At 35.9% G+C, this 17,038-nt stretch overlaps 2 long non-coding RNA genes across 2 annotated transcripts in view; both read right to left on the bottom strand.

Moving 5' to 3' along the window:
• The window catches only part of OBI1-AS1 (OBI1 antisense RNA 1), a 562,471-nt gene extending 562,042 nt beyond the window's left edge, over positions 1 to 429 (bottom strand). Inside the window, exon 1 of the long non-coding RNA NR_047001.1 lies at positions 220 to 429. This is a non-coding gene — a long non-coding RNA (OBI1 antisense RNA 1). The remainder of the gene's footprint in view (positions 1 to 219) is intronic.
• A 1,259-nt stretch (positions 430 to 1,688) lies between these two features.
• LINC00446 (long intergenic non-protein coding RNA 446) overlaps positions 1,689 to 17,038 on the bottom strand; it is a 40,713-nt gene continuing 25,363 nt past the window's right edge. The window contains exon 6 of the long non-coding RNA NR_047028.1: positions 1,689 to 1,806. This is a non-coding gene — a long non-coding RNA (long intergenic non-protein coding RNA 446). The remainder of the gene's footprint in view (positions 1,807 to 17,038) is intronic.

Raw genomic sequence — 17,038 nt, 5'->3', positions numbered from 1 at the left:
CTAATACTACATGGGTTTAATCAGATAATGCTACAGAGCAATTTATGAACAACTCCAGATACGCTGCCTTAAAAGCTGTAACACTCACCACGAAAGTCTGCAGCTTCACTCCTAAGCCAGCAAGACCACAAACCCACCAGAAAGAAGAAATTCCAAACACATCCAAACATCAGAAAGAACAAACTCCAGACGCGCCACCTTAAAAGCTGTAATACTCACCGCAAAAGTCCGCAACTTCATTCTTAAAGTCAGTAAGACCAAGAACCCACCAATTCCAGACACATTTTGGTATGCTTCAGGGCATTGTCCAAAACAATAGAGCAATCAGCTGATAATTTGGATGTGATATCAAATGAGCCAGGCAGCTTAACAGAGAGATCAGGAAAGGAGAAAGAGAGCCCTGCTAAAACTGTTGTCCCAAGTAACTATGAATGTCCAAAGCTGTGCCTTACTTAGGAGAGACACTGCAGGGAAATAGACTTCATTAAAATAGACTGGCCATGTCACCAATCAATAAACAAGCAAATGATAATGAAAACAGCCCACCTAACAGGGAAGGGGAATCATTAGTCCTTGCTTAGGAGTAGGCAAGGTGGGATGATTTGGGGGTACAGAGGATTTTTTTGGAGTAATGCAAATATTAGAAAATTGGTTGTGGTGATGATTACACAAGTCTGTAAATATATTAAAAGCAATGGAAAAATTGTATGGTATGTGAATTATATTTCAAGGAAGATGTTTTAAAAATACCTGAAATTACTATTTAAGCATAGAAACCAACAGTTCATCCTCAAACGCTCTGAAATGTATTTAGACTGCCAAGTGAAAGAAGTTTTTCAGCCAAAGCAGAAATTGTAAACTTGCCTAGGTTTATTCAAATAGTTTGGCAGGGAACCTGTGGGAATTGAGCTCTGGGCTGATGGTCAGCCAGCACTTCCAGTGACCAGCAGTGACGGAGGGTGGCACATCATTTATCATGTTTGTTACTGGCTAAAATAAATACTGCTGCCTCTGGGCCATGCACTGGACATGTAAAATCTTCCCAAGTCTGCAGTGCTATGAACTCTGCAGACCTACGTATGTTATCAAAAATATCACACTGACCTTATGTCTGTGAGCATCAGACTAGTAAGGAAAGTGAAAGATTTTAGAAAAGGGAATCTAATTAGAAACATCCCTTTATCCTCATATCGTTCTATTTGTTTAAAAAGTTTACCATTTTCAGGTGATGCTCCATTTTTTATTGCAATTTTTGAGTGTGTTAACAAGAATGTTTTCTGAACTCATCATTGGTTGGCTTCTTCTAAATGGAAACCTCTTGTCTGAACATTTATGTGTCTAAGACCAAATAGTGTTCATTCTAACTTGAATGGGAGGTGTTCGCTGTCAATTCCTGTAACTTATTTAGCCTTGACTGAGGAAAGCTATTCTTCTGCAATAATGATGTTCTGTGACTTTCAGTATAGCACGGGGGGAATATTTAGGGGGAAAAAATGACCTGCTTAAATAGTCAAATCAGTGGCAATTATTGAGATAACAGTCATTCAATCATCTAACGTCATTAATACAACATATGCTAGAGATGGTGCTAGGTCTTGAGGCTGTAGAAGTGAAATAGTAACACCTTTTGCCCACCCATTCCAAGGGTCTTGCCTGACACTCCTACAACAAAAGACAGGTTACAAGAGAAAAGCATAACAAATTTATTTAACAAAGTTTTACGTGACACAGGAGACTTCAGAAATGAAAGCCCAAAGATCCAGGGAAAACTTGACAGTTTTTTGCTTGCACTCAATGCAGGATCAGCTGTATAGAAATACGATTGGACAAAAAGGGTGTGTTGTAATGGTGATAAACTGAAGGAGCCCAGTAAGGCCTGTTTTTTCAGATTCTTCCGGGCCTCTCTATGCAGCATTCCTTCTTCCAGGTATAGGGTATGACACCTGTCACATAAGGACCCTCAAGGGAAAAGGGAGAAGACCAGAGAGTAAAGTTTATAGGTTTTATGGCCTGCTTTCAAGGAGAATAGTTTTAGTTTCTATGACCCACTTTTGGTAGAGAAATGGGGAAAGGAGAATAGGAGAAGGTCAGAGAGAAATTCTTGCTTCTGAGGCCCTTCCAATTTCCTTCCATTGAAAGTACTCAGCAGACCATGGTGTTATATTTTGGGATGACATGTTCTAAGCCCCAACCAGGGCCATGGCAGTGCCTAAGATATAGCACACACACTCAAGGAAAGCCCCAGTCAGTGGCATTGCCTTAAGGTGAACTCAAACTGCCGACCTGAAGGGATGTCTGTGATGCAAATTATTATTTCCATGTCTATTCAGTTTGCTTTTCTTTCTCTCAGTTAAAGGGAAAGAATATCCCAAGTCTTTGTATTCAGAGGAATGTTCATCCTCATTCTCTGAATATCCATCCAGAGGGGCTAGAGAAGTGAAGTGAGAAATTATAGGTGTTTACACAATCATGACAAATAGAAGACACTTGGATGCAACACTACCAACATCCCTTGCTGTCTTTTACCCTAAATTACTTGTGAAATTGAAATATAGTTACAAAAGCATCTTCCTCATTTCAAACAAAAATTGTAAAATGTATAAGTTACAATTAAGAGGTTATAATTCTTAAAAGAATTCCAAAAAGCAAAAGCTTCCAAGTAAGTGTGAATCACATCAGAAAAGTTGAGAAAATAATTTTTAAAAAGTAGAATGAGGGAGGCAATCCTGGATCTTATTGACAGGGCAATGAAAGTAATAGCACATGGACTTTTCATTACATTGTTTCTTAAGCTGGTATTATGTGAAATATAATAAAATGATTGGTATCACCCTAGAGACATCTGAACCATCAAAAACTGGAGAGCAAGAAAAAAATGACTAATGGAGAATCTCCATGCTGTTGCTGTAGTTTAAACTGACAGAAAGCTCCCCCTCTCCCTTTCACTCATTGTGGACTCACCCTTAGGACTAGCTCTGGTGATGGTCTCCAGGCTCAACTGACGTCACTTCAGGTCTTTTTGGAGTCTGTCTCTTTCTCTATTTTCTGCCCAGTCAGATACCACTGTAGCCTAGTGCACTTCATTTTAAATGAACTTAGGAAAATGTTTCTGAACATCTTTTAAAAAAAAGTACTGTTTTTCTATCTTTTTAATCCATGTAATACTTTCACTTGATTTTTTGGAAAAATTTACATGGTGCTGAAAAGCATATGTAACTCAACCCAAATCAATAGAAGCAAAGGTTTCTGTTTTCGTAGTTGCCTCTACATTTCCATAGTACTTGCTTATGTAGCTATTTCTTGATTGGTTAGTTTCAGACATCATGTATTGACTTACCTTTAGATGAGAAAAGGACTTACCCTCCTTGCACTATATCCTGCCTTCCCATTTTAGATATATCATCATATCTCATTAAACAGTTAAGCCTTACATTAATAAGTCTATGTAAATACAATAATTGATTAAACAGTCAGAAAGTTACTATGATTCTATTTGCTTTTGTGCTTCAGACTTTTTCTTGCTCTTGCCATATATATTAATCAAATACTGTTAGTTCTAAATCGTCCATCTACCATATCAAGTGCTCTTTTATTCTGTGGATCTTCCTTTCTGTCTACCTTCCTGCTCCAAACCAAACTGGCAAATCTCTAAACCTGTCTGTGTGTGACAGATACTTAATATATTATTGGGAAACTTCATGGCAGTATATAGAGATATTCCTCATTCCTTTATTTTACTTTTTAATTTTTTTCAGTTAACAATGGAGTCTCGTCCTGTCTCCCAGGTTGGAGTGCAGTGGCATGATCATAGCTCACTGTAACCTTGAACTCCTGGGTTCCAGCAATCCTCCCACCTCAGCCACCCAAGTAGCTAGATCTAGAGGTGCATGCAACCATGCCCATTTTTTTCATTTTAATACTTTTTTTATTGTAGACATAGAGCCTCACTTTGTTGCCCAGGCTGGTCTTGAACTCCTATCCTCAAGTGATCCTCCCACATCAGCCTTCTAAAATGCTCAGATTAGTGACATGAGCCATGGCACCTGGCCCCTCATTCCTTTTTATAGCCGCATGGTATTTCATTGCTTGGGTCCACTATATTTTATTCCAGCAGTCCCCTACATATAGAATTTTTTCTCTTTAGCTTTTTGCTTTTGAAATAGTGTTGTATCAAACAGCTTTGAGCATAAGCCTTTTATTTTTTATTGATTCCTAGAATTGGTATTACTTGGTCAGAGAATAAATTTATATGCAATTATTCTAGATATTGCTAAATTTCCTTCCATTGGGTTTTATATTTTTGCGCTCTCTTCAGTTATAAATATAATTGCATGTTCACTCATAATCTCTCAAACAGAGTACTTGTCAAATTTAGGGAAATCTTTCAAATTGATAAATCAGAAATTGGATCATAATTTTGAGTGCAGTGGCGCAATCTCGGCTCACTGCAACCTCCTCCACCTCCCTGGTTCCAGCAATTCCCCTGCCTCAGCCTCCCGAGTAGCTGGGCTTACAGGCACATGCCCGCAGGCCCGGCTAATTTTTAGTAGAGACAGGGTTTCACCATGTTGGCTAGACTGGAATAATCATGTTCTTAATCTGTATTTTGCTTATTGTGAGTGAGACTAAGCATTTTTTTCACATTATTCACAAATATTTAAACTTATCAATTCACTCTGCTCATATTCTATAGCTCATTTTAGAATTACAGAAAATCATTTTATTTTAATCTATTATTATTTTAATGACAAACTAGCTTAGAATCAGGTCATTTTCTATAGGATTACTGGCCTCTTCTGTATTTTAGAAGCTATTTATATAAAAAGACATTGACTTTTTATCTATGATATAAGTAAACACATATCTGGTCTTGTTATAAATTTTGCAAGAAATATTCCCCTGTGAAATAAAGTGATGGTTATTAGAATAGAAGTTATATAACATATACTGCTGAATTAAGGACTTAATCCATCAATTCCAACCTTATTCGATCCTTTTACTTTTTTAAAACATGATAGATTTTGAATTTTGTCAAATGCCTTTTCTGTGTCTATATAAGCAGATATAAGCATGAGGTGTTTTATCTTAACTCTAATGTGTTAGATTTCATTAATGGGACTTCCTGATATTTAACGACTCTTCAATTCCTAGAATAAAGCTTACTTGGTCATAATGTATAGAGTTTTTAAATAAATCTATTTGCTAGTAATTGATCTAAGATTTTAATGCAGATATTTATAAATGGGATCGGTCTGCAGTTTTCTTTTTTCATTGAATCTGTCAGGTTATAGAAGAAAATATTTTGCTGATTTTATAAAAATAAAAGTTTAACCTCTTTTCCCCTGGACTGGAAAGACTTAAGGTGCATTGAGATTATATGATGTTTAACGTGCACTTTAGAGAATGAAGTAAGAAGTTTGTGAAGCCATCAAAGTCTAAAGCTTTTATTGTGATGGAGCTTGTTAGCTGCTTCCCCTTTTCTTCTATGGCAATTGCTGTCTTTAGATATTCTCTCTACTGGGGCCAATTTGAGTAAGCAGTATTTTTATACAAAATTTTCTTGAAAACTGGCATAAGACAGGGATGCCCTCTCTCACCACTCCTATTCAACATAGTGTTGGAAGTTCTGGCCAGGGCAATCAGGAAAGAGAAAGAAATAAAGGGTATTCAATTAGGAAAAGAGAAAGTCAAATTGTCCCTGTTTGCAGATGACATAATTGTATATTTAGAAAACCCCATCATCTCAGCCCAAAATCTTCTTAAGCTGATAAGAAACTTCAGCAAAGTCTCAGGATACAAAATCAATGTGCAAAAATCACAAGCATTCCTATACACCAATAACAGACAAACAGAGAGCCAAATCATGAGTGAACTCCCATTCACAATTGCTTCAAAGAGAATAAAATACCTAGGAATCCAACTTACAAGGGATGTGAGGACCTCTTCAAGGAGAACTACAAACCACTGCTCAACGAAAGAAAAGAGGACACAAACAAATGGAAGAACATTCCATGTTCATGGATAGGAAGAATCAATATTGTGAAAATGGCCATAGTGCCCAAGGTAATTTATAGATTCAACACCATCCCCATCAACTTACCAATGACTTTCTTCACAGAATTGGAAAAAACTACTTTAAAGTTCAAATGGAACCAAAAAAGAGCCCGCATTGCCAAGAAAATCCTAAGCCAAAAGAACAAAGCTGGAAGCATCACGCTACCTGACTTCAAACTACACTACAAGTCTACAGTAACCAAAACAACGTGGTACTGGTACCAAAACAGACATGTAGACCAATGGAACAGAATAGAGCCCTCAGAAATGATACCACACATCTACAACCATCTGATCTTTGACAAACCTGACAAAAACAAGAAATGGGGAAAGGATTCCTTGTTTAATAAATGGTGCTGGGAAAACTGGCTAACCATATGTAGAAAGCTGAAACTGGATCTCTTCCTTACACCTTACACAAAAATTAATTCAAGATGGATTCAAGACTTAAATGTTAAACCTAAAACCATAAAAACCCTAGAAGAAAACCTAGGCAATACCATTCAGGCCATAGGCATGGGTAAGGACTTCATGACTAAAACACCAAAAGCAATGGCAACAAAAGCCAAAATTGACAAATGGGATCTAATTAAACTAAAGAGCTTCTGCACAGCAAAAGAAACTACCATCAGAGTGAATAGGCAAAGTACAGAATGGGTGAAAATTTTTACAATCTACCCATCTGACAAAGGGCTAATATCCAGAATCTACAAAGAACTTAAACAAATTTACAAGAAAAAATCAAACAAACCCATTAAAAAGTGGGTGAAGGATATGAACAGACACTTCTCAAAATAAGACATTTATGCAGCCAATAGACACATGAAAAATTGCTCATCATCACTGGCCATCAGAGAAATGCAAATCAAAACCACAATGAGATATCATCTCACACCAGTTAGAATGGCGATCAATAAAAAGTCAGGAAACAACTGGTGCTGGAGAGGATATGGAGAAATAGGAACACTTTTACACTGTTGGTGGGACTGTAAACTAGTTCAACCATTGTGGAAGACAGTGTGGCAATTCCTCAAGGATCTAGAACTAGAAATGCCATTTGACCCAGCCATCCCGTTACTGGGTATATACCCAAACGATTATAAATCATGCTGCTATAAAGACACATACAAACATATGTTTATTGCAGCACTATCCACAATAGCAAAGACTTGGAACCAACCCAAATGTCCATCAATGATAGATTGGATTAAGAAAATGTGGCACATATACACTGTGGAATATTATGCAGCCATTAAAAAGGATGAGTTCATGTCCTTTGTAGGGACATGGATGAAGCTAGAAACCATCATTCTGAGCCAACTATCACAAGGACAGAAAACCAAACACTGCATGTTCTCACTTATAGGTGGGAATTGAACAATGAGAACACCTGGACACAGGGTGGGGAACATCACACACCAGGGCCTGTCCTGGGGTTGGGGGAGGGGGGAGGGATAGCATTAGGAGATATACCTAATGTAAATGATGAGTTAATGGGTGCAGCACACCAACATGGCTCATGTATACATACATGACAAACCTGCACGTTGTGCACATGTACCCTAGAACTTAAAGGATAATAATAATAAAAAATATATGTATCTATTTTATCTATGTTTTAAAATTTAAGTTGCCTACAGGTTTTTTAGTTTTTTTGTTTTTAATAAAAATCCTACTGTATACAACATTAAACATGGACACACATCTTACTCTCAATATTTCAATAGTACCACCTGGGCTATGATAATCTCATCATAGCTACTATTAAACAATATATTAGTTTTATATTCTTAACTTGAATGTATTGTACTTTAAGTTGTACTCTTTTATATTTAGCTAAATTTACTTATAGACTTTCTACTAATTGGCAATTTGCCAGCTTACAGGTGGACATGTGTGCTACTTCTGTATATTTTTATTGCAAAGAAATCCTGTAGAAGACCTGCTAGAAAGGTCTCCCTTCTTTTCCAGTGAAGCGTACTTTGGCAGATGAAGCAAGAGAAGATTTAGGTAGTCAAGCAAAATTTAACATCTCTCTCTTCTATAGTTACACTGAAACATTTTCCAGACCTTGACAAGTCTTTGCGACAACGCCCTCATTCTTATACCATTTCCTCCTTTATGGTTCCCTAAGCCCTCATCTCTTTTTATCTCTTCTACCTGAAAATCACTTCTCTGACCTCCCTTTATCTACTAAGAAAATATTTTTAATATTTCTTCTCTCTTTCTCTCTCTCTTCCCCTCTCCTCTATATGCCTCATTTTGAAACATTTGTTCTTCCAAAGACACCATATTTATTAAAGTTACATTTTTTCACTCATGCTATCAGTGTTCCATGATTGCATATCAAAGCAAAGAATCCTTTAAGATTCTTAGCTATCCTTTAGGATCGCTTACAACACTTAATACATTTCTCTTTCATTTGCTGATATTTTTAAAAATGGTTCTTTATCCCTACTATATTTTGGGGATTCCCAGGTCTAGAGATTCTATTCTGGGGATGCACAATAATAAAATACTTCTTTTCCAAGTAGTCCCAACAAGAAGAACGTAGAAACTTGAAGAAGTTGAGTTTCAGTGTACATGGAAATAGTGTGTTTCATTATGCAAATAGATTTCCCCTGAACTGGCCTGCATTAAGAAAGAGCATCTGCTAATTATACCAGGGGGCAAGACTACAAAGGCCAATTTACATTCTATGTGTGGTGTCCTTGATTTGTTTCTGAGAACCAAAACAATATAAAGGGTTACAGATGGTTTAATTATTGACAGTCACTCCCTTACTTTCTCCCTGAGGGTGTCAGGGTCTGAGGCTCTGCTCACCTCACAGCAGTGGCTCAGCCACCCTGGCGAAGGCTTCCAGGATCCCCTTAGCATAGGCTCAAAGGTGGGGGTCTTTCTGGTAGCCTCTGAATGACACTATGCTCAATATAATGATAAATAAAATGAAACAAACTAGTGGACTCCTTCTATTTAATTGCTTCCTCCTTGTCTGCTGTTCGCCTTTGTCTATGTTGAAGTAACTGCTTCCTCTCACTAAAGTACATTCTTGGTGAGATCATTTTTCTTGTATCTTATCCAAAGTTCTGTTTTGCATGTGTGTGTGTATGTGTGTGTGTGTGAGACTTATCCACAGACCTGATTAAAATCCAATTATCAAGGGACAGTGCAACACAACGGGTTGCATCCTGGAGCAGCAGCTGTGAGACCTGCACTCTCCTTCCAAATTTGGCTCTTATTGGTGGAGTGGCCTTGAACAACCCCTTTTGCTCAGTTCCCATATGCGAAAAATAGGGTAACAATGAATATTTCACAGGAATTTTATAATTAATAGTATATATGAAAACATTCATTAAAAACTAAAAAACCATATATGAAGAGAAAAATGCAATTACTGTATGCTTTGTAGCACTTATTTATTTAAAGCTTATATCTGCCAGTCCTCTTACAGCTAATTTTAAGTCTATTTTTAAGTACATTAAAACTTTGAATATTAACAACAACTCTTTAAATAGGTACTGTTATCCTCATTTTACAGATGAAGAAACTGAGGTTCAGAGAGGTTAAGTACCTTGCTGAAGGTCACACAAGCAGAGTGGTTTGTCTATGGAGGCTAGGTTTTTGATCATGACATTGTACTCCTTTGTGTACAGTATCTTGGGCATAAGAGGCCCCCCAAAAGGAGAAAGAGGTAGTTAATTAAGCATAGTAAGTTATATATAGTAAAAGATATTTAAAAGTTTTTAATACTGTGCTTTGACATATTCAGCATCCTTGGCCTATTAAAATAAGCCCACCAACTTTCTAATTAACAGAGCCCAAACTGTAATTGTTATTTCATGTTTATTTTCAAAGCTACTTGTGAATGGCAGCATCTGTGAGCTTTTGGTGGACGCTTCTGTAGGTGCCTTCCAAGTAGTCATTCAAGTAGGACAAACAAAAATTTCATGCAAATATTCATGAATACTGACAGTTTTTAAAAATCTGTACTATTAGAAAGTGATTTTATTTGTTATCTAAGAGTTAACCTATGTCTAACAAAAATGTTTATTTTTTGAGTCACCAAATTTATTTGAAAACCTTTCCCATTCAGGTAGGAGAACACTGATTTTCATCTCATTTCAATTTAAACACTGTAATTCCTTCTCACCACACCCTTCAAGAAAAGTCTATTAGTTATTTTTCCTTCCACATTTTTGGTTGCGGTTGGTACAGGTGAATATACATAAAATGGACCTATTGATTTCAAGGCAAATATCATCAATTACAGCCACTTAAGACTAGGACATCCTCACCTCTGCTTGGTTTTTACTGGTGGTGACCCACATAGCCTGTGACTTGACATGGTCTATTTTAACCTTCTCAAGAACCTATTTCCAATGCCCTAAGTTGTAAATTTGTCTCTTATTTTATTTCATAGAATGGTCCTGAAGCACTGAACTTGTCAATGCAGGATTTTTGCATTTTTGTATTAATCAGTATGTAAAATGGAAGGGCAGCTTATAGGACACAAAGTACATAGGCTGTTTTGGGGACATTTGGATCTAGGAGCACCTGGTGGCATCAGACAGGGGAAAAGAGTAAGGAATTGGTCTGGCTATAATCTCCAACTTCTTCTCTCCCCAGAATTTTTGAGATATATGATTGATGTTTTCCTATATCATATGAAAAGCATTATACAAAAGTAGCTTTGAGAGTTGACAAAACTAAGCTATGTGGAAAGGACTCACAATTTCTTCAGAAATTGTGGAGCAGCCATGGTGTTTAGGAGATCTGAAATCCCAGGCTTCCTTCTTCTTCTTCTTTTATGCCTTGGTCTCACAATTCTCTCTTTAACATTACACGTCCAGTGCTACGGATGTTTTGAGACTGTCCTCATTTTTTTTTTTCTTTTTATAAGCATCTCAAGATTGGACTCATTGAATAAGATGAAAGTCTTCTAATCTAACTTAGTCTCAGTTTTGGTAAATTTTTTCTTCCTTACTTTATCCCCATGAATTACTTCTACCAATGATTTTGTTGGTAAAAATTTCTTACAACGACAGCTGTTTAACAACTTGAATTCTTGTTTGAAGAAAAGTTGGTTCACATGCTACATAAAATGTTAACTGTCAACTTCAGAAAAACAGGAGATATTTTTAAATAGTATATATGAAATTGTTCTGGGTGGAAGATGTTTGTTTTTGCCAAGTGCAATAAGAATTTATCAAATATTTTACCATTCAAGCCCCTTTGAAGATTATCTGAATCATGACCCTTCCATTTCCATTACAAGCATGTCGTCAAACATGATATTCTCATAACATCAAGAGCAAAATGGCAACTTCTCATGTTGTACTTATTGCGGTTGTATCCCATATATTCCTGTATATCTTTGTATACTATAAAAGCACAATAAACCTTACAATATATAAAACCCCAATAACTCTGAGACTAATGTATTATAATAATCATTTTCTGACAATAATGAACATTTTTCCCTAAGAAAAGAACATTCTGTACATTATCCAGGGTGGGGCATAGGAAATGAGTCTCAAGGTTATCTCTGGTTCCTGGACATCTATAATTCCTTTTCTGACAAGTTCATTTGTAACATACAATACACATTGATAAGTTATCAGTCATGTGAAAATTTGAAGGAAGAAAAAAAGTACCCATTGAATGAAAGTTCATTAATCTTTTATAACAAGGTTTCAAAGTATATTCAAAGTATATTTTGGTTCTGCTCGCTGAATGTTACATTGAGGACATCTGATCTTTGGCAGACAATGAGGTATCAAGCCCAGGTTTCCAAAAAATAAAATTAAATAAAATGTCATTAAATTCAGCAAACAAATATTTGGAATCGACAAGGTATATGTAACAAAGTTTGTATTTCAAAAAGTAACTTAGCTGTCTTACTTTCATTATACAGAGAAAATTGCACCAAATTCTTATTTCATTCCCCATCCAAGGGCCACTGAACCACTTGCCTAAGTAAGAGTAGCATGAGCATCACTACTAGCAACTGTGATATCCAGAATACTAAACTAGCTTAATGAAATATATCTGCCATTTCCACTTTATCAATAAATGAACAGTATCCAGTTCCTGTGTTATAAATTCACACCCATTTCCCATCAGAATTTTAATTGAAGCAAAATACAGGAAATCAGAAAGATAAAACCACTCTCAAAGACAAAATATCCATGTTCTTGATCAGAAATAGAAACGAAACACAAAGTAGATGGGGCTAGCTGGTTCCAGAAATGGAAGCAAGTAGAGCCTACTGGCAGTTTGGTTTCCAGTGCATGATAAAAACTGAAAGTGCCCCACTGGAGATAGGACTAAGTAAGAATTCACAACCTGAAATGAGGTGCTTCAGTGGGGCTCTCCCTGCCATGATGGAAGCTCAGAACAGTGGTGCTCACCACGTATGTGAATCAATGGTTAGAACTATTATACAATTGCATCACTAGGGGGACAAGAGGAAGTAGATAATGCCAAGAAATGAGGCGAAGACTACACCACCCAATAGCTTGGCATCTGGATTGCACTATTTACAATATTGATGTGAGATAGAGGCCCCCTAGCCACACTACAGACCATGACAGGCTTTCAGTCAAGATGGATCTGGAAACTGATATTCCAAAATTCATGAAGAATACCAATTTAGGAACAGCAGCCATGAGATAAATTCAGTCTAGATAAAATATGAAAATATGATAGAGAAATATGAAAATCAATTTGAAGCATATATGTTAAGGATCTTCAAAGAGATATAAAAAGTACAAGACCACTGGGGGGAAAAAAAGAAAATATAAAATAGCAAAAAAGAAAAGAAAAAAATAGTGAAGTAAAAATCTAACAAATAATACAGTAAATGAAATAAAAAACTAAAACAGAAAACCTCTCAATTGGTTTTAGTAATTGAGACAGCTAGTGAACATAGGAAAATCCTGAGGCATTCTGCCAGAATATTGCAGAAGGATAAAGAGACTAAAAATATTAAAAACTGGTTAATGGAGATGGAAAAGAGTTTGAGAAGACTCAACACATGCTAATTGGCACTCCAAAAAACAAAAAGAAAGAAAGAAAATAGAAAGAATGGCAGAAAAATGATATTTAGAAAGTGAATAGATAAGAACTTTTAGATTTGAAGAAAGATAAACTTAGACCATGAACATCAAGTACCAAGAGGGTTAAATAAAAATAAGCCTGTGTTTAAATAAACCACGTCAAAAAATAAAGGTTATTAAGGGTAAAGAGAAAAATCGTGTGAAGAGACACAGACATCATATTCAGAGACGCATGGAGATAAGGGTGCAGAATAGGAGGAAGGTTTAATGTAGTACCTTGTCTTGTTTAAGAATCAGCAGGAGGCTGGGTGCAGTGGCTCATGTCTGTAATCCCAGCATTTTGGGACACCGAGGCCGGCAGATCACCTGAGGTCAGGAGTTTGAGACCAGCCTGGCCAACATGGTGAAACCCTGTCTCTACTAAAAATATAAAAATTAGCCAGACTTGGTGGCGTGCACCTGTAGTCCCAGCTACTCGGGAGGCTGAGGCTGGAGAATCACTTGAACCCGGGAGGTGGAGGTTGCAGTGGGCTGAGATTACCCCACTGGACTCCAGCCTGGGTGACAGAGTCAGACTCTGTCAAAATAAATAAATAAATAAATAAATAAATAAATAAATAAATCAGCTGGAGATATAGAATAACTTCTGAGTTATAGAAAGTTAGAGTCAAATATGTATGTGATAATAAAATATAAATACAATGTATGGTTTCCAAACTAGTAGAGGGAATAAAGGAGAAAAATATTACCAATTCAATAGAAAGCAAGAAAGAAAGGAAAAATCAAATAAACCATCAAAATTAAGCAAATCAGAAACAAAGAGAAAACAGAAACATTAGTAGGTAGAATTCCAAACAAATGAGTAAGCACAATAAAACTTGGTGGATTAAATTTTCTGATTAAAAGGCAGATTATTGGATGAGACTGTTAAAAAGTAAATACATTTCTAAAATGAAATGACTCAAAAAGTTTAAAAAGAAGAGAAGGAAAACAACACGCCACATAAATAACAAGAAACAAAAATCGAATGATCAATATTAATGTTGGAGACAGAATCTAAGATATTTCTAACAGTGGAATACCATTTGTCTACATCCAAGTATAGAGACTGATTTCATGGTGTTTGCTTCGCCACCAATTCATAAGTACGGCTTTGAAATGAACAGTTAATTTCACAAGAAGTAAGGTTCAACTTTGTGTGTGTGTGTGTGTTTCAGGGGGCTTCTGAAAAAGGAAGGAGCAAAGGATGCTTATGATGACAAGCATATTTTAAAATATAACATTCAAAGCATTTTAAAATTTGACACAAAATGTACTTCATCTGAGCATTGGTTAGCTTTCTTCTCCTGGTGCCATCAAGCTTTTAAAAATAATACTGACTCAAGCTATCTATAGTTGTATTGTGTTTTCAATTAATTTCAGTAAAAGCTCTTGTTCTCCATCTACGCCTGTACCCATTCTCTGTGACAAGGGATGTTTGCAATCTGACTAAAGAGGATTATGTATTCCCACCCCCTAGACTTTGGTTTCTGTCTTGTGACTTGACTTGCGATGGAGTGTTATTGGGTGTCACATGACCAACAACATGAAAAGTGCTTGCATTATTGAGCTAGCTCTCATTCGCCTTTGCCATTGCCACAAGAAAAATATGCTTGTTTGGGCAAAAGAATTCAGCCATCCTAGCCACATAAAACCTACATCAACTCACCTCCAGCTGAACCCTAGACAAAAGACCAAACCCCCTTGAGATCAACAGAGCCATACAGCTGAGCCCATCAGTGAGCCCACAAATCTACGAGATTAATTATGGCTGTCTTAAGTCCCTGGCATTTGTGAGTAGCTGGTTATACAGCACTGTGATAGCAATAGCTAACTGACACACACTGCACTATATTCAACAATCTTTTATTCTACCAAAGATTTTCACTGACAAGTGCTAATTAGAGGCTTAGTATTTGGCTTCAACCATGACCTAATAGCCAAACAGAATTTTTAAAAATCAAAAACTGAATCACAGAACATAGAGTATATAATAACTACATTAAAAAAATGACACTTTAAATTTTCTCTTTCCATAGCATGTAACTCAAGAAACTAGAAAAAGAAGAACGAAGTAAACCTCAAAAAACTAGAAGGAAGGAAATTATAAAGAGTAAAAATCAAAAAAATAGAAAACAAAAAAGCAATTAAAATGTTAATGAAAACTAAAAGTCGCTTGTTTCAATAAAGTGATAAAATAAATACATCTAGCATCACCTATTGAGAAAAAAGAAATTAATTAAAAACACAGTAAAAATGGAGGAATATAAATGCAGAGACAGTAAAGAATAATAAATAACTGTAATGGGTGTAAAAATAATTGGTGAGCTAAGCATTTATGAAATAATATTTTCCACCTTCTCACCTTGACATATACACCCTCCCTAAGTAATCTTCCTTATCCACATAATTTCAATGACTGTATACATTCTAAAAGTTATAAAATATTTACTTCCAGAACATACTTCTAAGATTCAGAGCTACAATTCCGATTACTACTTATTGGACAACTAAAATTGGATGTAAAACAGGATATCAAAACCAACGTATTTTTCCATCTCTACTCTCCTTTCCCCTAATTATTTCTTGAATTTTTCAATCTGGGTTTCTGTCTGGGTTAATGCAATGACCACCTGTTTACACACCAATAGATAAAACCTTAATTAACTCCTCTCACCCTGACTTCATCAATTTGGTAATTTGGTTCTTTGGATTCTTTAATTAGCTTTTACCAAAAAAAATTCTCAATATTTAATAAACAATAGTGTGCAAAATATGTACTGACAATATGAAAAATGTTTTTGACGACAACCTATAATATCCTTATGTTTTATTTAGATAGTGTGTATTTAATATAGTTTTTGTTCTTTAAAAAGACATTTTGCTTTCAAAGAAGTGAATGGTATATTAAAAATGAAACAAAATTAAATCTATGCCTCACTGACCTAAGCTTAAATATTTGCAATGATCCCTTCATAGAGTATTCATAATGCTAAATATTCTTTCCATGTTGCCAAGATAAAGCAATTGAAAAATACTTTAAACCACTTTAAACAAATTTGGAGGAGCAGTGCATTTAGGTGGAAAAAATTGCCTGTTGTTCATTTATTAACATATTTTTCCATTCAAAGTCAGTGAATATTATATCCTAGGTATTGACTTAATGGAGATTACATCTTAGTGCTATGAGACAAACAAATATACAAATACATGTATACTATATCTGTTGGGGATATTGCAATGAAGGAAAATGAAACAGGGTAAGAGAGAAAGAGTTTTGTGGAAGAAGTGGTATACGTAGGGTGGTTTAGGAGGCCTTTCTGATCGAGCGATATTTTAAGCAAAGGCTCGAAGAAAATGAGGCAGCCAGCCATCTGGATAACTGAAGGAAAAGTGTCCCAATCATGAGGGCAGCAATTGCAAAGACCTTGAGTGCTTGGCATGTTTGAGGAAAAGGAAAGCAGTCAATATGGCCAGGAAGAGTAAGTGATGGGGGAGGGGGATGGAAAATGACGTTGGGTAGATAACAGGGGACAGGGGGATTGAAACAGCTGGATCAGTCATGAAAGACCCGACAGAACATGGTTAGAGCATTGCCTTTTTTACTGAGTTAGATGGGACTCTATTGATAATCCAGATACAATTATTTAGGGCATACTATAGTGAATTATCAGAAAGAAACCATATCATGAAATATTTGAACACTCTTGGGTATGTATTTAGTATTTTAGATGTAAATGTACCGGTATGTTTATTGACTATAAAAACCAGAAAAAAAGTCCTTCTACCATACAAATGTAGCTTTCTTTACAACAAACCGGTATTTTTCTTTTAATTATCACAAGACAGTGTTGAACAAAGGTTTTGATTTAAAATAATCAGCCTAT

Source organism: Homo sapiens, chromosome 13 (assembly GCF_000001405.40).
Source record: "Homo sapiens chromosome 13, GRCh38.p14 Primary Assembly".
NCBI classification, from domain to species: domain Eukaryota; kingdom Metazoa; phylum Chordata; class Mammalia; order Primates; family Hominidae; genus Homo; species Homo sapiens.
Note: the sequence above shows the minus strand (reverse complement) of the source record. Positions and strands in the feature narration are given on the sequence as shown.